This window comes from Homo sapiens, chromosome 3, assembly GCF_000001405.40.
Source record: "Homo sapiens chromosome 3, GRCh38.p14 Primary Assembly".
Classification (NCBI taxonomy): Eukaryota; Metazoa; Chordata; class Mammalia; order Primates; family Hominidae; genus Homo; species Homo sapiens.
Genome location: NC_000003.12, coordinates 65,913,213 through 65,933,448, shown reverse-complemented (window position 1 = coordinate 65,933,448; position 20,236 = coordinate 65,913,213). Strand labels below are relative to the sequence as shown.

The 20,236-nt window shown below is 41.1% G+C and overlaps 1 protein-coding gene and 2 long non-coding RNA genes across 8 annotated transcripts in view, besides 1 other annotated feature; 2 read left to right on the top strand and 1 right to left on the bottom strand.

The window, feature by feature from the left end:
* The window catches only part of MAGI1 (membrane associated guanylate kinase, WW and PDZ domain containing 1), a 685,393-nt gene that overhangs the window by 105,470 nt on the left and 559,687 nt on the right, over positions 1–20,236 (top strand). The gene's annotated exons all lie outside the window — the stretch shown is intronic.
* Positions 1–20,236, top strand: part of MAGI1-IT1 (MAGI1 intronic transcript 1) — an 81,745-nt gene that overhangs the window by 21,110 nt on the left and 40,399 nt on the right. The gene's annotated exons all lie outside the window — the stretch shown is intronic.
* MAGI1-AS1 (MAGI1 antisense RNA 1) overlaps positions 8,152–20,236 on the bottom strand; it is a 31,482-nt gene continuing 19,397 nt past the window's right edge. Inside the window, exons 2-3 of the long non-coding RNA NR_046575.1 lie at positions 19,268–19,358; positions 8,152–8,549 (exon numbers count right to left, since the gene is read on the bottom strand). This is a non-coding gene — a long non-coding RNA (MAGI1 antisense RNA 1). The remainder of the gene's footprint in view (positions 8,550–19,267; positions 19,359–20,236) is intronic.
* Positions 17,601–17,895: a silencer, noted in NCBI's record as "tiled region #14829; HepG2 Repressive non-DNase unmatched - State 19:H4K20". NCBI's record gives its function as "represses a minimal TATA promoter and a strong SV40 promoter by Sharpr-MPRA in HepG2 cells {active_cell/tissue: HepG2}" and the evidence as "EXISTENCE:reporter gene assay evidence [ECO:0000049][PMID:27701403]".

Genomic DNA, 20,236 nt, shown 5'->3' with positions numbered 1-20,236 from the left:
GACAGACAAGCAACCAATGAGAAAGGTCCACGTAGCATGGAACCAGGGTCTCTCATCAGCAGCCATATTAGTGAACCATTTTAGAAGCAGAAGCAGATCCCTCAGCCCCAGTCAAGCCTTCAGATGAGTGCAGCCCTGACCAATATTTTGATTGCAACCACATGAGATCCTGAGCCACGAACTAAACTGTTCCTTACTTGTAGAAACTCTGTGAGATAATAAATGCTTATTGTTTTAGGCCACTGCACTTCAGCCATTTTGCATTCTCTCTGGACTCCAAGGCTAAGATATGGCTTTTGTCTTCAAGTGGATTAATATTGAGTTTAGTCCTGGAACAGGTTCTTTCAGCCATACACACTTAAACAAAATACTTATTGAAACAAGTATAACTGTAAGCTTCCCTGAATGCCTGATTTTCAATGGAGCATTTGGTCTTAGGTGCTGCCTAGAGGCAGATGGTATTCTCTTTCATATCAAGATTTAAACTTTGAAAAGATAGGACTGTTAAGTAAATGTAGTCTGGTATAGAGTAATGTAGCATCATACTTTATTTAAACATAATTATGAATCAGCTTTGGTTGCAAGTAATAGCCTAAGCAGGAAGGATAATTTATTATCTAGAGACGGCAAAGTCTCATGGAACCCAAGGGGAAGGATGGAGAGGGCCTCATGAAGGATCTTCTTTCCTCTGATTATGTTTCTTTCTATAGATGGGCTTTCTCTGATTTTCCATCTACGAGGTGGAATTTGGAAGCCCCTTTGGCTCTCTTATTATATGATGGCTTTAGTCACAGAGAGTTTCTGTGGTTTAGCTTCCTGGAAAGAGAGAATTTCATAGGTAGAGCTTCAATTAGGTGCCGATGCCTAAGGCAATCAGCCATTGCTGGGGTGGGTGGAACTCTAGGGCTGCCCGGAGCTTTTTTCTGTTGATGGTATATATATGTTCGGGATGGTGGGAATGCTGAAGGGGATTGTGTTCCAAAGAAGAAACCTAGGGGGCAGACACATACCTCAAAGTTACCTGCTATGGGAGAGAGCAGTTTTAGAAAACATATTACCTAATCTTTCTTTTTTATTTTTGTTTCGTGAAACTGAGTTTCACTCTGTCGCTTAGGCTGGAGTGCAGTGGTGTGATCTCAGCTCACTGCAACCCCCGCCTCCCAGGTTCAAGTAATTTGAAAAGAACATAATCCATAGTCTTCGAACAGACCTTGTTTGCATTATTTTATGTTGGTTGGGAGAGAAAATGTGCAAGAAAATAATCTACAAGTCGTATCAGAAGAGTGCAAGTTCAAGGCATTCTGTCCTAACAAATAAAACAGTTTAGTGAAGTATTTTGAAATATTTGTAAGCATTTGTGTCCACAAACATTAGAAAACTCGATACGATTTTTTCCCCTGTTTCCATGTGTTTGGATTTTCAATCTGTTGATTTATCTCTGTGGCTGATTTTCTGGACTATTTGGTAACTCCAAGTTTCAGGAAAGTATTTAAAAATGTGATAGTATTACAATGGAGAGCAGGTAGTTTGGTGTCATCAAGCTTTTCTATGAGTTGGCGTATACACTTACCCTTCTCTAGTCACAGTGCAATAAAAAATATAGGTAGTGATTTTCATTGGTTTCCAATGATCTGTTTCATTTGAACCCACAATTGGGTTCAAATCCACATGTAATGGCAGGTTTTCATATGCCACAGAGAGGAATAATAGCGGAACTGTTTTTTTACCCTGTAATATAAGTTGAAGAGAGCACAAGAATGCAAGTGGACTTTTACTGTTGTTGTTGAGACAAGGTCTTTCTCTGTCACCTGGGCTAGAGTGCAGTAGCACAATCTCGGCCCACTGCAACCTTGACTTCTGGGCTCAAATGATCCTCCCACCTCAGCCTCCCAAGTAGCAGGGACTACAGTGTCTGCCACCACACCTGGCTAATTTTTGTATTTTTTATAGACACAGGGCTTCGCCATGTTGCCCTGGCTGGTCTGGAACTCCTGTGTTCAAGCTGTTACTGGAAAGGGGTCTCGATCTAGACCTCAAGAGAGGGTTCTTGGATCTCACATAAGAACTTGAGGCAAATCCACAAAGTGAAAGGATGTTTATTAAGAAAGCAAGGGAGGGCCGGGTGCGGTGGCTCATGCCTGTAATCTCAGCACTTTGGGAGGCTGAGGCGGGTGGATCACGAGGTCAACAGATTGAGACCATCCTGGCTAACACAGTGAAACCTCATCTCTACTAAAAAATATAAACAATCAGCTGGGCGTGGTGGCACGCTCCTGTAGTCTCAGCTACTCGGGAGGCTGAGACAGGAGAATGGCTTGAACCTGGCAGGTGGAGGTTGCAGTGAACCAAGACTGTGCCACTGCACTCTACCCTGGGACACAGAGTGAGGCTCTATCTCAAAAAAAAAAAGAAGCAAGCAATGGAGTAAAAGAATAGCTACTTCGTAGGCAGAGCAGAAGCATGGACTGATTGTTGGCTATTTTTATGTTTACTTCTTGATTATATGCTAAACAAGGGGTGGATTATTCATGAGTTTTCCAGGAAAGGGGCGGGCAATTCCCAGAGCTGAGGGTTCTTCCCTTTTTAGACCATATACGGTAACTTCCTGACGTTGCCATGGCATTTGTACACTGTCAGGACACTGGTGGGAGTGTCTTTTAGCCTTCTAATGCATTATAATAAGCATATAATGAGCAGTTAGGAGGACCAGAGGTCACTTGCGTTATCATCTTGGTTTTGGTGGGTTTTGGCTGGCTTCTTTACCGCAACCTGTTTAATCAGCAAGGTCTTTGTGACCTGTTTCTTGTGCCGACCAATCTGATCCTGTAACTTAGAATGCCCAACCTCCTGGGAATGCAGCCCAGTAGGTATCAGCCTCATTTTACCTAGCCCCTATTCAAGATGGAGTTGCTGTGGTTCAAACACCTCTGACAAAGTGATCTGCCTGCCTCTGCCTCCCAAAGTGCTGGAACCACAGGTGTGAGCCACCGTGCCTGGCCACAAGTGGACATTTTGATAAATACGTCTCCATCTTATTTGGGGAAGTTAGTAGTAAAGACTGAGACACAATGGAAAGACCTTGGTTTTTCCTTTAGATACAAATAACATTTTTTTTTTTTTTTTTTTTTTTTTTGAGACGGAGTCTTGCTCTTTCGCCCAGGCTGGAGTGCAGTGGCGCTATCTCGGCTCACTGCAAGCTCCGCCTCCCGGGTTCACGTCATTCTCCTGCCTCAGCCCCCTGAGTAGCCGGGACTACAGGCGCCCGCCACTGCGCCCGACTAATTTTTTGTATTTTCAGTAGAGACAGGGTTTCACCGTGTTAGCCAGGATGGTCTCGATCTCCTGACCTGGTGATCCACCCGCCTCGGCCTCCCAAAGTGCTGGGATTACAGGTGTGAGCCAACGCGCCCGGCCTAGAAATATAATTTTTAATGTGATTTGCCCTTCTAGGAAAGCTGTGAGATACACAGGGGAAGTATTTTCCTCTTTGGCTGATAAAGGAAACTGCAACTTGGTTCAAGTGACTTGCCCAAAGTTTCATAACTCTTAGTAAAAGTCAAAGAATGGATTAGACCCCAGAATTTCTCCCCAGCCCACTCTCCATTCCACAGGCCTTTGGTGTAACTCAGCTTCTTACCCTGAATTATTACCATGGATTGATTTGCTCTTTGAGGCCCTTTTGTTTGTGGGCATTTGTTGGAGTTTTAAACTTTTATGGCTTTTGTGCCCCGAAAGGGTCTCAAGTTATTCAAGATAGAATTATCTAGTATCTTATGTGGATTGCATTGTTGAATTCTTGACGTAAAAATCTTCCTTGGCTGGGCGCGGTGGCTCACGCCTGTAATCCCAGCACTTTGGGAGGCCGAGGTGGGTGGATCACGAGGTCAGGAGATCGAGACCATCCTGGCCAATATGGTGAAACCCCATCTCTACTAAAAATACAAAAATTAGCTGGGCATGGTAGTTGGGGGTCCCAGCTACTTGGGAGGCTGAGGCAGGAGAATCGCTTGAACCTGGGAGGTGGAGGTTGCAGTAAGCTGAGATCGCGCCACTGCACTCCAGCATGGTGACAGAGCGAGACTCGGTCTCAAAAAAAAAAAAATCATCCTTGATATCTGCATGTGTGATGACTGAGTTTTTGTCAATTTTAGAAAGCCTACATATGAAATGAATTTGAGTTAGATTGAGGAGAAAGGATGAAAGGATGAATGAGGTATATAGATAGGTTGTCCCAAACAGGGGTGCTCTACAAACAGGTTCATTGTCACAGGTTTTTTTCTTTTTTCTTTTTTTTTGCGGCATTGTCTCCCTTTGTCACTCAGGCTGGGGTGCACCGGCAGGATCATGGCTCACTGCAGCCTCGACCTGCTGGGCTTAAGTGATCCCTCCCGCTTCGGCTTCCCAAACTGGTGGATTATAGGTGTGAGTCTCTGTGGTTCTGGGCCTGCTTTTTTCATTAAATAAGCTGAAAGCATCAATGATAGCCTCTTATGTCCTGCCCACCCATTATCATTGTATCTCAGAAAACTCATGCTAATTGCATTTTTAATTAAAACTGTTTCAGTCATCTTCGGGGTCCTTTTGAAGTACAGAGAAGGTTTCATTATTTTGCTTAGAGGCTGAAATAATGGGCACCCTGCAAGGTGTGGTTTTCCTTATGTAACAGCTCTCATTGTGGTTGCATTTTTATTTGAAAACGTAGGTTTTAAAAGGGAAACTACACATTTCATATTTAAAAGAAGGCATTGACCCATTTTCTCTAGTGATTAGAACCGTGGAAATTAGACTTAATGTAGTTTGACATGTACTATAGAATTTTAGTCTTTCGGCTGAAAGGAAACAATGGAATACAGCAACTAACTCAAAGTTACTTGCTTGCCACCGTGACAATGTTGAGAGATGTAGTTGAGATTCCTGCCCTCATAGAGCAGTTGAGGCCAGCGGAAAAGCAATACATTGATTTCATCTCATGTGCTCCTGACAAATGAGGTCATCCAGTTTCTGTTGAAACAATGGTACCAGTTCAATATCTGAAAAACTTTCTTTAAGTTCATTCTTATATTCTTGTTGCCTCAAGTTCTCAGAGCAAGTGCAATCAGTGCTAGTTAATGGTTAAGAACCAGCTCTGGGCAGGGAGCACTGATTGTAGTGTTTGCCAATTTCCTTTGTATAAATGCTCCCTCCACGGCCAGTATTAAGTGACCACTGTAAACTCAGTGAACCTAGTATTGGGAGGAGTTGCACACAGTTGGCTGTCTGGTGTTAATATGTATCAGTCATTGCTCTACACACCAGGGGTGCATCAGTGAACACTGCTGTAAAAAAATCCTTGTCTTCATGGAGTGGGGCCGAAAATAAATTCATGTAAAAGTAACTCGTGTTGCATATTAGGAGGTGAAAATTCTAAGAAAAAAAAGAACAGAGTGAGGGGGATTATGTATACTGAAGGGACTTGGGTTGCAATTTTAAGTAGGGTGATCATATTCCTCAAGTGGCTTAATTTTCAGATACTCATCATTCTTGATTGCTTTTTCTGAAAAGGACATGCTGTGTTAAGTAGTTGATTTTCCTGAGCGCCAGGTGTGGTCTGCTTGGCTCACTGTGAGGACAGGATCTCCCTTCCCTTGATTCAATCCCTGACAGGTTAGGAATGAGCCTAAGAGTCCCTTCTCTCACCTCAGAACCCTGTCATACTCTTGGCTGATGTTGATCTTGTGGTCAGCCCAAACCACAGTCCCTTTCCACAGGAACTGCCAGCCAAGCCAGGTTTTCCTCATTGTATCATTTTACCAATGATTGATTGAACCTAAAAGCAGTACTTTACATTGATAGCTTTGATTTCTCATTATGTAAAAAACCTACAGAAGCACCCTGATTTCTTGGCAAATAAATCTGCATTTGTGACATCCTTAGTTGTTAATGCTGCTTGAAGCAATGTTTTCCAGTGTGGGACCACCTGTGATGGGTGAGGGCATTGGGAGCAGTTCACACTTGTGGCATTAAATGGCTTTGGATCCTGCAATGAGACAGACCCTTTGCAGGTCACATTCAGTGGGCGTGATTATGTGGTGGAGAAAATGTTAGTTTGGTGCCTGTGAGTCTTTAATATCTTCTTGCACTAGCAAATCTACCTTTTCAGGAGATGAAAAGGCAGAGTTGTTACCGGAAAGGGGTCCCCATCCAGACCCCAAGAGAGGGTCCCTGGATCTTGCACAAGAAAGAATTTGAGGCGAATTCATAGAGTAAAATGAAAGGAAGTTTATTAAGAAAGTAAAGAAATAAAAGAATGGCTACTCCATAGGCAGACCAGCCCTGAGGGCTGCCGGTTGCCCATCTTTATGGTTATTTCTTGATTATATGCTACACAAGGGGTGGATTATTCATGAGTTTTCCAGGGAAGGGGTGGGCAATTCCTGCAACTGAGGGTTTCTCCCCATTTTTATTTATTTATTTGAGACAGAGTTTCACTCTTGTTGCCCAGGCTGGTGTGCAATGGCGCAATCTCGGCTCACTGCAAACTCCGCCTCCTGGGTTCAAGTGATTCTTCTGCCTCAGCCTCTTGAGTAGCTGGGGTTACAGGTGTGCACCACCGCGCCCAGCAAATTTTGTACTTTTAGTAGAGATGGGGGTTACACCATGTTGGCCAGGCTGGTCTTGAACTCCTGATCTCAGGTGATCCATCTGCCTCAGCCTCCCAAAGTGTTGGGATTAGAGGTGTGAGCCACCACGCCCGGCCCCCATTTTAGACTATATAGGCTTTCTGATGTTGCCATGGCATTTGTAAACTGTCATGTTACTGGTGGGAGTGTAGCAGTGAGGACAACCAGAGGTCACTCTCATCACCATCTTGGTTTTGGTAGGTTTTGGCTGGCTTCTTTACTGCAGCCTATTTTATCAGCAAGGTCTTTATTACCTGTATCTTGTGCTGACCTCCTGTCTCATCCTGTGACTAAGAATGCCTTAATTTACTGGTAATACAGTCCAGCAGGTCTTAGTCTTATTTTATCTAGCCCCTTTTCAAGATGGAGTTGCTCTGTTCCAACCCCTCTGACAGAGGGAGGTGTAGGGAGGGAAAGAGGGAGAGAGAGAGAGAGAGAGAGAGAGAGAGAGAGAGAGAGAGAAAAGAAGACTTCAGTCTTGGATCTTCTGCAGATGACAGTTTTTAGGTAACAATAACATTCTTTTATTTACATTGTATTTATTTTTCAGACTACCTTCTATTTAGTGTAGGTGATAACACACAATAATGTAATAAAATTTCCTTTCAGGTTAAATCTATTGAAGTTAAAAAATGACTTCATTTAAAGAAATACTAAATAACAGAAATGATTTTGATTTGAATTTTTCTTTTACTAGTTGTGTGATCTTGAGTAAGGTACTTAGTACTTGCCACCTCAGTTTACTTATCTGCAAAATGGAGATAAAAGCATTTACCTCAAAGGGTAGTTGTGAGGATTATATGAGTACATATGGCCAGGTGCAGTGGCTCACGCCTGTAATCCTAGCACTTTGGGAGGCTGAGGCAGGTGGATCGCTTTAACCTAGGAGTTCAAGACCAGCCTGGGCAATATGGTGAAACTGTCTCTACAAAAAATACAAAAATTGGCAGAGTGTGGTGGCTCGTGACTGTAGTCCTAGCTACTCAGGAGGCTGAGGTGAGAGGATGGCTTGAGCCCAGGAGGTGGAGATTGCAGTGAGCCAACATTGCCCCATTGCACTTCAGCCTGGGCAACAGAGGGAGATCCTGTCTAAAAAAAAAGTTAGTCCATTAAGGATGGTTAAGGTTATATGAGAGAGCTATTACTATTTTTTTGAGAGGTTGGGGTTCTTTATTTTTATCAATCTAACAAACGTTCTAATTGTTAAAGGAGTATTTAGTGTTCTAGGTTATAGAAATAGAAAGAGGAATAACCAGTATTGTGTGACTATAGTGAACAAAGTTCCTGTTGTTTTTCTCTTAACTCTGCATCAGGGAATTATGTGGTCACTGGCCTTGGGTTGTTTGCAGTTGTCCTTGTTGGGTCAAGGTGGGCCTTTTTACATCAAATCTGGGCAAGGTGCCCTTTATTGTCATTCTGTTTGGCCTTTCAGCCAGCTTTTTGTGTATAAGTAATACAAAAACAAAAAAACAAAACAAAAAAAAACACTACCTGCACTGAGGCCTTTTATTACCTTGGAATTTATTTCCAAAGGAAATTTCAAGGACAATTCAGTGGAAGAAGAAGTGGAAATCTAAAGGTGACTTAAACAGGCATCTGGTTTTTTCTTCCTCAGCCATCTCATGGCTTAAATGATAAAGTCTTCTCAATTCCTGGATGAGCAATGGAAGTAGACGAGGCAGAGACACAGTCGTCATGGAGCAGTGTATCCCATGGTGAGCTCTACAGGACTTGAGCTCCCCCAGTGATAGAAAATGTTTTATGGGGAGATCAAAGGATCTTGTGGTCAGACAAATTTGGCTAAGACCGGCATATGTAAAGCTCAACAGACTTATTTGTTTTCATGACTTCTCTCAGAGGGTTTTTATGGACAGAAATTCATCAAATGCTCTACAAAAGAAAATAATAATAACAATTACCTTTTATTTAGCACTTAACTATGTGCCAGGCATGACTGTGAGTACTTTACATGGATTAACTCGTAAATTCCCACAACAGTCTTATGAGGTAGGCATGGCTGTTTATTCTCATTTGATATATAAGAAAACTGAAGCATGGAGCAGCGAGGGGCAGTGTGGGATGTGGGGTTTCCTAACCGAATCTGACCAGAGACAGGTTTAGTGGTGGACCTTCGGTAATTAAGAGCCCACCAAAGCAATCTGGGAAACCTGCTCTAGTACTCTAAGCAAGCTGTGACTTACAGGTAGATAATTTGGGGATGCGGGATGGCCTCATTCTTGCCTCATATTGTTTGAGCATTCTGATTCCTGCCACGGAAATGATGGCTTCTCCTAGAATCCTTGTGTTATATAAATTCACCTCCCAATGATATTCTTGCTTGGTTTGATGCTAGAAATTCTTGAAATGGGACTCATGTATCTTAAAGTGACAGGCTTAATTTTCTAATTTTACAGTGTTCTGGGGAGGGAGATGCAATCCCACTGCTGTAGACCGACCTTTCTTAATTCGGGCATTTTAGTAGCTTCTCTGGAAGGCAAGAATTTGATATGTGGAAAGGAAAGACAGGTTTGAATAGGGCTTGTGATCCTACTTTAGTCCAGTGAAACAGCACTTGATTAATAAATCATTTAAATCTTCCTAAAGTTAAAATGATGGAAAATGCTACTTTTTAAATCAAGGTTTTAAATGAGTGTCAATTGGTAAAGAGCCATAATGGCATTTTTTACAGATGGTCTTAGCTTCAATTATTCATACATCTCCTTGAATTATTTTAGTATTACCCAAGAGATGAAATAATGTTGGATAAATTACTGCTTCTGCTTCTGTGGACAGCTGAGTCTAATACTTAAAAAACACTTTAATTATTTTCTGTTAATATTACTCTTAATATAAAATTCAGGTGCATTGATGCTGCAAGATTAGGTGCTTATCCTCTACAGTTTCAGAGCTGATGCTAGTTGGAATTGCTTCTTTGTGGTAATGAGGAAACAACGCTCTTTTTTGCATATGGAGAGAGCTGTACCTTAGGCCCAACATGTTACTTGGCCAAATGTGCTTGTGCAGTGTACCCCCTGTACAGCTGTATGTGATTGGCCAACCTTATCTCTTATCTCCCATAGCAGCCTTAATGTCTCCTTGTTAACTCTCATCTCACTTAAAGTTACTTGTTGAATGTCTCTCATTCTTGCTAGAGGGTAGACTCCCTCAGATATGGCATATACTTGTCATATTTATTCCAAGGACATAACAGTGCCAGGTACCTAGTGGGCTTTTTATGATGTTTATTATTTAAGATGTTTATTGAGGCCAGGCGTGGTGGCTCATGCCTGTAATCCCAGCACTTTGGGAGGCCGAGGTGGGCGGATCATGAGGTCAAGAGATCGAGACCATCCTGACCAACATGGTGAAACCCCATCTCTACTAAAAATACAAAAAGTTAGCTGGGCGTGGTGGTGCGCGCCTGTAGTCCTAGCTACTCGGGAGACTGAGGCAGGAGAATTGTTTGAACTTGGGAGGTGGAGGTTGCAGTGAGCCGAGATCACACCACTGCACTCCAGCCTGGGTGACAGAGCGAGACTCCATCTCAAAAAAAAAAAAAAAAAGATGTCTGTTGAATGCAAGCTTAACATGTGCATGCATGGACGGGTGGATGGATACATACGGAATGGATAGAGCAAGTATAGGTCTTACATAGAAGAATTAGAAATCTTTTGCCTGGGGCATGTGATCCTGGGATCTTGGAGTCAAATTGCAGGCCAGTATGGAATAATCAAATTTTATCTAAGCACTTCTAAGCCCTAAGGGAAGCTATAATTTGCAAATCTCCTCTGTTTTGAATCTCTTATGTTCAGCATAGCCAGATGTTCCTGTTATCAAGAAAAAAATGTTATGTTTTCCTATTATGTATAGTCCTACCAGAGTTCCTCATAGACATAGTTGTAAGTTGGGTCTTCTAAAGACTATAGGAAGGAGCAGGAAATACGCCAGTGGTTATTATTTGACAGAAACCTGCTGAACTTCCAACTGGCTGGTTCTTATTACTGTCTCTCCTTTCTGTACACCAATTTTCTTTGGGGATGAAGTGCTGGCATTGCAATGCTCCGTTGATTCATCGTGTTCTCCTCTCAGGTGTCATCATTTCCCTGGGCTGCTGTAATAAAATATCACAAACTGGGTGACTTAAAACATCAGAAATGTATTCTCTCATAGTTTTGGAAGCTAGAAGTCTGAAGTCAAGCAGGGCCTTGCTTCCTTTGAAGGATCTATAGATCCTTTGCCTTCCTTGTCTCTTTCTAGCTTCTGGTGGTTTCCAGCAATCCTTGGCATCCTTGGTTTGTATCTGTGTCATTCCAGTTTTTACCTCCTCTTCACATGGCTGTCTTCCTTCTGTGTGTGTCCATGTCTCTGAGTATCTGCTCATTTTTGTAAAAGGACACCAGTCATATTGGTTTTAGGGATTACCCTGATTCATTATGACCTCAACTGATTATATCTGCAAAGGTCCTATTTCTAAATAGGGTCACATGTGGTTCCAGGTGGACATGAACTTTGAGGGGATGCTATTCAACCCCGGTATACCAGGTTTTATCTCTTGCATTGGTTGCTAATGCATGAATCTAGGTCTAGTCTCTGCTGTATTTTTGTGTGTGACCTTGTGCATGTCATTTCATCTCTTAGAGTCTCTGTTTCTGTAAAAGGGAACTAATAATAGTACCTGTATCTTAGGCGATTTTGAAGGTTAAATGAGTGATGGAGATAAACCATGTTAACAAGAGCTAGCACATGGCAGGTACTTGATACACTCCTATAATTATTATTATTCGTTTTTCATATCTAACCAAAATGCATTTTGTATATTCTTTCCTTTTGTGTAGTGTGTGTGTGTGTGTGTGTGTGTGTGTGTGTGTGTCGTGTGTGTGGTTGGAGATAGGGTCTCACTCTGTTGCCCAGGTTGGAGTGCAGTGGCGCCATCGTGGCTCACTGCAGCCTCAACCTCCTGGGCTCAGGCTAACTTTCTTTCCTGATTTTCTTCTGTGTTCCTTTAACTTTTACTAGCAGGCTACAGACAATTGTCAATCATTTTGATTGATTCTCCTTTGATTGATTTTGTGGAATGACCTTTTCTTGAGGAGGAATGGATTAAAAGAGTGGTAAGAGCTTCTGTATTGATTGGAGGTTATTCCAATATGGTGGTAAAGATCTTAAGAAAATTATAAGTCAGCCGGGCACGGTGGCTCATGCCTATGATTCCAGTACTTTGGGAGGCTGAGGTGGGAGGATCACTTGAAGCCAGAAGTTCGAGACCAGCCTGGCCAACATGGTGAAACCCCGTCTCTACCAAAAAATACAAAAATTAGCCAGGCCTGGTGGCGCATATCTGTAGTCCCAGCTACTCGGGAGGCTGAGATGGGAGAATTACTTGAACCCGGGACACAGAGATTGCAGTAAGCTGAGATTGTGCCCCCTGCACTCCAGCCTGGGCAGCAGAGTGAGACCCTGTCTCAAAAAAAAAAAAAAAATTATACGTCATTGCTAAAATACAGATTGATTTAATAATCTTATCTTCTCAAATCAATTTTTTTTGTTATACATTGGCCTGAGCAAAATACCACGTAGTAGCTTTCTTCCAACATGGCAAACATTGTTAAATAATTCTGCAGTGGGTTAAAATGATAGTAAAAGTCAAGATTATATGTTTGCATTTTCTGTGCAATTATAACTTCTGAACTGAACTCAGTTTGGCAGTAGCGTCAATTGTAACTAAAAACTGCAGCCCAATTCCATTTTGTTTTTTTTTTTTGAGACAGAACCTTGCTCTGTCACCCAGGCTGGAGTGCAGTGGCGTGATCTCGGCTCTCTGCAACCTCTGCTTCCCGGGTTCAAGCAATTCTCCTGCCTCAGCCTCCTGAGTAGCTGGGATTACAGGTGCCCGCCACCTGGCCCAGCTACTTTTTGTATTTTTAGTAGAGACGGAGTTTCACCATGTTGGTCAGGCTGGTCTTGAACCCCTGACCTCGTGATCCACCCACCTCGGCCTCCCAAAGTGCTGGGATTACAGGCGTGAGCCACTGCGCCCTGCCATTTTGTTCTTACCAAATGTAAATGTTGTCATATAAATTAAAACCCATGGGGGGAGGGTAATTCAATTAATCTTAATTTTCATTTTCTTCTGAAATGTGAAATTAAATAAAAGTTGTTAAAAATGTTTTTGGGAAGGGGAAGAATGGGCTAAATTTAATTGTACTATATTGTTTTAAAAATATTTCTTAAGTCCCAGAAGAGAGTGAAGCTTATAAATATGGAATGCCTTGAGGTGATTGAATCTAGGAGAAGAGAGATTAGGTTTTCACCTGACACATGTATTATACCTTAAAAAGAGATGGTTCAGGATTAGAAATTCATACGGTGTTTGTGTGTGACTGTCAGAATTTGATGGAAGATCCAATATGTTCTGTTCCCCACTGCTTAAAACTAAAAAGAAGATAATTTTAGAGCCCTTGTTTTTTAATATCACTGTTTTTAATGACTATCACAGGGGTCTTTGAGAAATTGAGGGCACAGGTCGAGGTGTTTAGCTGGAAGGAAAAAATACAGCAGGATGCAGGTGGAAACCAGCTCTTTAAATAGATGGCTAATATGTGTAAATGAAGTTGGCCAGATTCTGTGTGGGCCCTAAAGGATGTGAACAGGACTGTTGTGGGTAATTTGTGATGTGCAAAACTCCCTAAAATAAGTGTGGCTGCCAAGAAATGTGGTTTGTTCACTGATTCAGAGCTTTCCAAGTCTAGTCTGGGTCATTGCGAGAAGTTTGTGTGAATTTAAACATCGGACCTGAAGTTAGACCAAGTGACCACTTAGATTTATTTCATTCCTGAGTTTCCAGGAATCTTAAGTTGGTGACCAATGGGATAAGATTGAAAAAAGTTAAAAGGGGTTAAGATGATGGAAGGTCTGTGATGTCTGGCTAAAACTGAGAGTTCTAGTGTTCAAAGCAGTAGTTAGATATCAGGAAGCAGGCTGACAGACTGTATGAGAGAAATTATTCCAGCCGTGTATAATGGTCACTGTTAACAAAGCCTCGAATGGGGGAACGTTGCCTTTTTCTAACTTGAAAAATGTGAGAGAGAGAGAGAGAGAGAGAGAGAGAGAAGGAGAGAGAATGAGAGAATGAAAATATATCCAAGTTACCTCCTGATACCTTCTCTTGTGTAAGCATTTTTTGTTTGTTTCTTTTTTGTTTGTTTGTTTTTTCTTTTTGTTTTTTTTTGAGACAGGGTCTTGCTCTGTCACCTGGGCTAGAGTACAGTGGCACAACTGTAGCTCACTACAGCCTCAAACTCCTGGGCTCAAGAGATCCTCCCCCTTAGCCTCCCAAGTAGCTGGGACCACAGGAGCGTGCGCCACTCCTGGCCAATTTAAAAATTTTTTTGTAGAGATGGGGTCTCCCTGTGTTGCCCAGGCTGGTCTCAAACTCCTGGGCTCAAACGATCGTCCTGCCTTAGCTTCCCAAAGTGCTGGAATTTACAGGCATGAGCCATTACATCTGGCCCTTGTGTAAGCATTTTGGAGGTTAAGAAGTAGAAAATCAAATTGTTTTTACATTTATAACTTCAGAATGAGAAGTCAGCATTTTGTCTCCTGGGGGGAAAGCTCCCTCAAATTCAATGAAATTAGTTTAGTGTTCTCCAAAGGAAAAGCCAGTGAAATTCTGTTGAGCAAGGATCATGAAAACTGATAGTCTTCAGTCTTCACAGATCAATGTTAACCATACTATCTGGTTTCATGTGTAGTGAGTGCCCTTGTGGGCACAGTATTGTTTCCCAGAATAATTTGGGATTCCAATTTTATACCCTTTTGGCTAGTTTACATTTTGTTTTGTTTGTTTGTTTTTTTTTTGAAAATGAGGATTATTATCCTTCCTTGAGAAAAACAGATCACTCTGCAGTATAATTGAACTCCTCTTAACTTTTTGTAAGCATTCTCCTTAACTTGCATTTATTTGTTGGTAGGGATAATTTGAAGAGAAGAGCATTTTAAATTCTTTGAATTTAAGCAAACAATAATTTTAAGCTGACCTGCGTAGTCACCAAGCAATAGGATGAAAACAACTCATTTGTTGGCAAAAGAAATCAGTTTAAGAATGTTGTGGAGGCCGGGCGCGGTGGCTCACACCTGTAATCCCAGCATTTTGGGAGGCCAAGGCAGGCGGATCATGAGGTCACGAGATTGAGACCAGCCTGACCAACATGGTGAAACCCCATCGCTACTAAAAATACAAAAATTAGCTGGGCGTGGTGGTGCACACCTGTAATCCCAGCTACTCGAGAGGCTGAGGCAGGAGAATTGCTTGAACCTGGGAAGCAGAGGTTTCAGTGAGCCGAGATCGCGCCATTGCACTCCAGCCTGGTGACAGAGCGAGACTCCGTCTCACAAAAAAAAAAAAAAAAAATGTTTTGGAGCAAGAGTATAATGCACAGGTGAATATATGTTCCCAACCCCAGATTTTTAACCAAGAGAAGCAAAAGTAGAGTGCAGAAAATTGACCTGAGAGAGTTATGTAAGTTTCTTCTTAAACTACAGATGCCCTTCTAGGTATTTAATAAAAATGCTTAATGATAGGAATTCATGTTTACTGATTCTGACCCTACCTCAGTGTGTAGATATTCTCTTTGTAACTGTAAAATTAGTTTCATTCTTTTATTTTTCTGAGTAGCTGTTTAAAAACAATAGACTTCGTTAGAGCATTTTTAGATTCACAATAAAATTGAGAGGAAGGTACAAAGATTTCCTATGTACCCTCTGCTTCCAGCCTGTGCACAGCCTCCCCCATTATCAACGTCCCCCACCAAGGTGGTACATTTGTTACAATTGATGAACCTACATTGACACATCATTATCACCCAAAGACCTTAGTTTACATTAGGGTTCATTCTTGGTGTTGTACATTTTATAGGGTTGAACAAATATGTAATGACACGTGTCCACCATTATAATATACAGACTAGTTTCACCGCCTAAAAATTCTTGGTGCTCTACTTATTTATCTCCCCACTCCCCTAACTTTTGATCTTTTTACTGTCTCCATCGTTTTGCCTTTTCCAGAATGTCAGATAATTGGAATCATATAGTATGTAGCCGTTTCACATTGGCTTCTTTCACTTAGCACTATGCATTTGTAAGTTTCCTCCATGTGTTTTCATGGCTTGATGGTGTGTTTCTTTTTAGTGTTGAATCATATTGCCTTGTCTAGATGTACCATAGTTCTTTTATCCATTCATTTACTGAAGGATGACTTGGTAATTGCACATAAAGCTTTTATAAACTTTCATGTGCAGGTTTTTGTGTGGACATAAGTTTTCAACTCCTTTGCTGAATACCAAGGAACATGATTGCTAGCTAGATTGTGTGGTAAGATTATGTTTAGTTTTATAAGAAACTGCCAAACTGTCTTCCAAAGTGGCAATATAATTTTGCATTCCCACCAGCAGTGAGTGAGAGTTCCTGTTGCTCCATATCCTTGTCAGCATTTGGTGGTGTCAGTGTTTAGGATTTTGGCTTTGCTAATAGGTGTGTAGTGGTATCTCATTGTTGGTTTTATTTTTCAATTTCAAAAGTGCTACTAGTGATGTAGAAGGATAGAGGAGAAAGGAAACCCTGTAGCCCCATGTAACTCCTCATCCTTTAGAGTTAATGGTATAATATGTATCTTTCTAGATGTTTCTCTCTTTATGTGTAAGAAGGTGGAAATGTCTAAGGATAAGCTTAAGAAATAAAAACAGATTATTTCAATTACCTTTGACATTATAAATTTAAAATATAAGAAAACACCTGGCAGTCCAGACAAATTTTTAAAGAAGTCAAAGTTAACTTTTTTGGACCATTAATATATTACGTGTATGATTATCCAAGATTTTAAAAAGTATACAATGAGAACAGTAGAACTTATCCCTGACAACTGTCTTCTCCTATCCTCATTATTTCATTATTTGGTTTCTCTGGAGGTAGTGGCAGGGTGTGTGTGTGTGTATGTGTGTGTGTGTGTGTTAGTGTGTGTATGATACATGTACTTAAGTAAGAAATTCATGTATATAGGCCAGGTGCAGTAGCTCACATCTGTAATCTCAGCACTGTGGGAGGCGATTGTGGTTTGGCTGTGTCCCCACCCAAATCTCATTTTTAATTGTAGCTCCCATAATTCCCATGTGTTGTGGGAGGGAGCTGGTGGGAGATAATTGAATCATGGAGTGGTTTTTCCCATTCTGTTCTTGTGGTAGTGAAAAAGTCTCACAATATCTGATGGTTTTATAAGGGGTTTCCTCTTTCACTTGGCTCTTATTTTCTCTCTTGTGTGCCACCACGTAAGGTGTGCCTTTCGCCTTCTGCCATGATTGTGAGGCCTCCCCAGCCACATGGAACTGTGAGTCCATTAAACCTCTTTTTCTTTATAAATTATCCAGTCTTGGGTATGTCTTTATCAAGCAGCATGAGAACAGACTAATACAATGGCTGAGACGGGAAGATCACTTGAGGCCAGAAATTTGAGATCAGCCTAGCTATCATGGCGAAACCCCGTCTCTACTAAAAATACAAAAAAACTGGTTGGGTGTGGTGGCATGTGCCTGCAATCCCAGCTTCTTGGGAGGTTTAGGCATGAGAATCGCGTCAACCCGGGAGGCAAAGGTTGCAGTGAGCTGAAAATGTGCCACTGCGCTCCAGCCTGAGCAACAGAGCAAGACTCTGTCTCAAAAAAAAGAAAAGAAAGAAATAGATGAATATATATATATAATATACTGTGTATTGAATATTATAAATTATATGTATATAAATATATACATATTATATATATTCACATTTTATATATGTATCATATAAATGTATATGTATTTCTTACACAGAAATGATAATAAATACACAAATTTGCATCTTGCTTTTTCAACATAAATCAAAGCTTGATTCACTAAGTTGAGTCCTTTTTTCAGGGTTATTTATTTTTAGAAATAAGGAAGCACAAATGAACTGCTTTGTCCATAGAGAGGAAAGCCAGGAAGTATAAAATGCCATTAGTTACCTGATAGTCATCATTTTACCAAGCAAAGAGAAGGCAGTTTTCAGGAAAGCATATGGAATATGGCTCTTGATGGAACTACGTGCCACTTGAAGGATACACTGGATAACCCAGAGGGATGATTCACAACCAGTGCAGCTGTAAACTTTTCTTTTAATTAGGTAGGAAGCACCTGTGTGTTATTCATCGTTTTTCCTCTTCCCAGTCCAGTCTCTTCAGGGATTTTAAAAAAAGAAAAAGACCCAAACAATTTGGAATTTAAATTTTCTGTAGGAGAAAGCAGCCAGTGTCTAAAAAGGGGCAAGTGTGCAGATCATCTGCTGGAAGACAAGGTGAGAAGAGTAACTTGAACGGGTGTGAATTTTAGAGGGCAAATGACTGTGCACATTGCAAGGTGTTTGGCATGGAGCGATGTGTTAGCATCCCGTTGGTGTTTGGATTTATGCTTCTGAATTGAGTATTTAAAAATATTTAACAGAATTAATGCTAAATATGTACAAGCTGCTGTTCAAATGTGAACAGTCCTAGCATTTGTATCTCCTGTGGGCTCTGAGCATTACCATGAGATGGCACCAGCATCCTTTCATGACCTCTGTGTGGCAAGAGGCTAAGTGAGACTGGTCATATGATTAGCAGTTTCTTGCAAGGGACTGATCAACATCATTTACCACACAATTTGCCTAAGAGATTGACTTTGTCCTTGAATGAGTTGTTCTAAATGTGCATTATAATGCTAGCCTAAATATGCTTTGTAAAAAAATTATCAACTATCATTTATTGAGTGCCTACTACATGCTGAGAGCTTTACAAATTTATTCCTGTGTAACTTTCACTACTATCCCAAGGGGGTGCTATTATCTTCATTTTATAGATGGGGAAGTTGATGCTCAGAAAAGTAACATATCTTACCCGAGGTCATGCAGCAGGTTACTCTAAGCAATTGAACTCTGTTGTACAGTGCTGAAACCCTTTGTATATGTACATATATCCTGTAAATATCCATCCACCATAAGCAAATTTGTTTGGCACATTTGGGTTGATACTGTTCTCAACTTTGTGATTTGTAAATTTAATATGCTTATTAGGCATTTGTCGAACATTAGGCTCAAATCCTCTTAAGGATGGTGGCCTTCCCAGAGCTCTCAAACTGGTAGCCTGTGGGCTGGATTTGGACTGCACCTGTTTTGTTTTGTCTGAGGGGAGCTAGAGTCAGCACTGTGTTTTAATTGAATTGAGCGTGAATGCCTTGAGGCTTGGCTTGAACTCTCAGGTCCCCTCTTAGTCTCCATAATTCTCTACTTTTTCAGACATTGTCTGCTTCACTAGTTGAGGTTATCTGCATGGCCCCTGATGGCATTTGAATTTGTGATGAAACCAGGAAGTACCCCAGTTTGAATGTGTTCATTTGTGGGTTCAGATTAATTAGTTAACAGATCGATCTTTGTTCTGAAATAAATGTTGCTGGATTTATGTTGCTCACTATGCAACAGAGAGTTGACTTTTTTTTCCAGGCTTTTCACAGGAGGCCCTCTGTTGGTAGAAGTCCCCGCCGGGTTTATGCTGGCTGAGTATGTATGCTGACCTGTGGATGTAGTCATATGGTGCATCTCTTGAAGGCTGATGTTTGGTTGATTGTAGTATGCCCTGAGGTGATTTTGATCATGAAGCTAAACCTAATGGAGAAAACATGAAAGCCAATTAGTTGTTAATAAGCATTAGGGGAGAAAGCAGGGTCTAAGATCCTCTTTTCTTCCTTCTTTGTCTCCCTTTGTCCTTTCTAATGGTCTCTCTGGGTTTAAAGCAATTGCTTTCTGGGTCCATGTGAGTGTTTTCTAAATTGCCAAGAATATTCAGGAGTGTTAGAACCCCTTGAATTGAAGATAAAGACCTTGGGATACACAGTCAGTGGTAGAATTCCTCCATGGTACTCTACTCACATTGCCTTCAAAAAATACGATATGTTCCGAAGGAATTTCTCCTCCCTGTATTTCCTCTGTTAACTGTCTTCTGCTGTGTTTTCAGTTTGTTTTCTGTGGAACACCTGCCTGAAGGATGCTCTTTGCAAATAAGTTTGCAAAATGCTTTTTATTCCAATACTTTGTTAGGGATTTGAAAGGCATCTCATGGTAAATGCTCCAAGCAGTACTGTGTTTAAGGAACCTGTTTTGCCCAATGCAGCATTTCCCAAATTAGTGAACTAACAGAACCCTTTCTGGAATCTCTCCTTTCTGAACACTACCTCCCCATCTTCCGAAACAACCTATACCTATTAGCTTTCTACAGGCCATACTTTGGGGTTGCCTCTCCCAAATTTAGGTCAGAATTTAGGTAGAAATTACCTGAAAGCATTGAACCATGTTTTGGATTTTTTGGGGGGGTTGGGGAGGAGGAATAATCCTAATTCCATCTAAATGCAATTTTGTCAAATATGAAAAAATGGTTCTCAAAGAATTGAACTTCATGGCTTGGAAGTGTTTATTTATTATTTTTTGTTTGTTTTTTGAGACAGTCTTGCTCTGTTGCTCAGGCTGGAGTTCAATGGCACAATCTC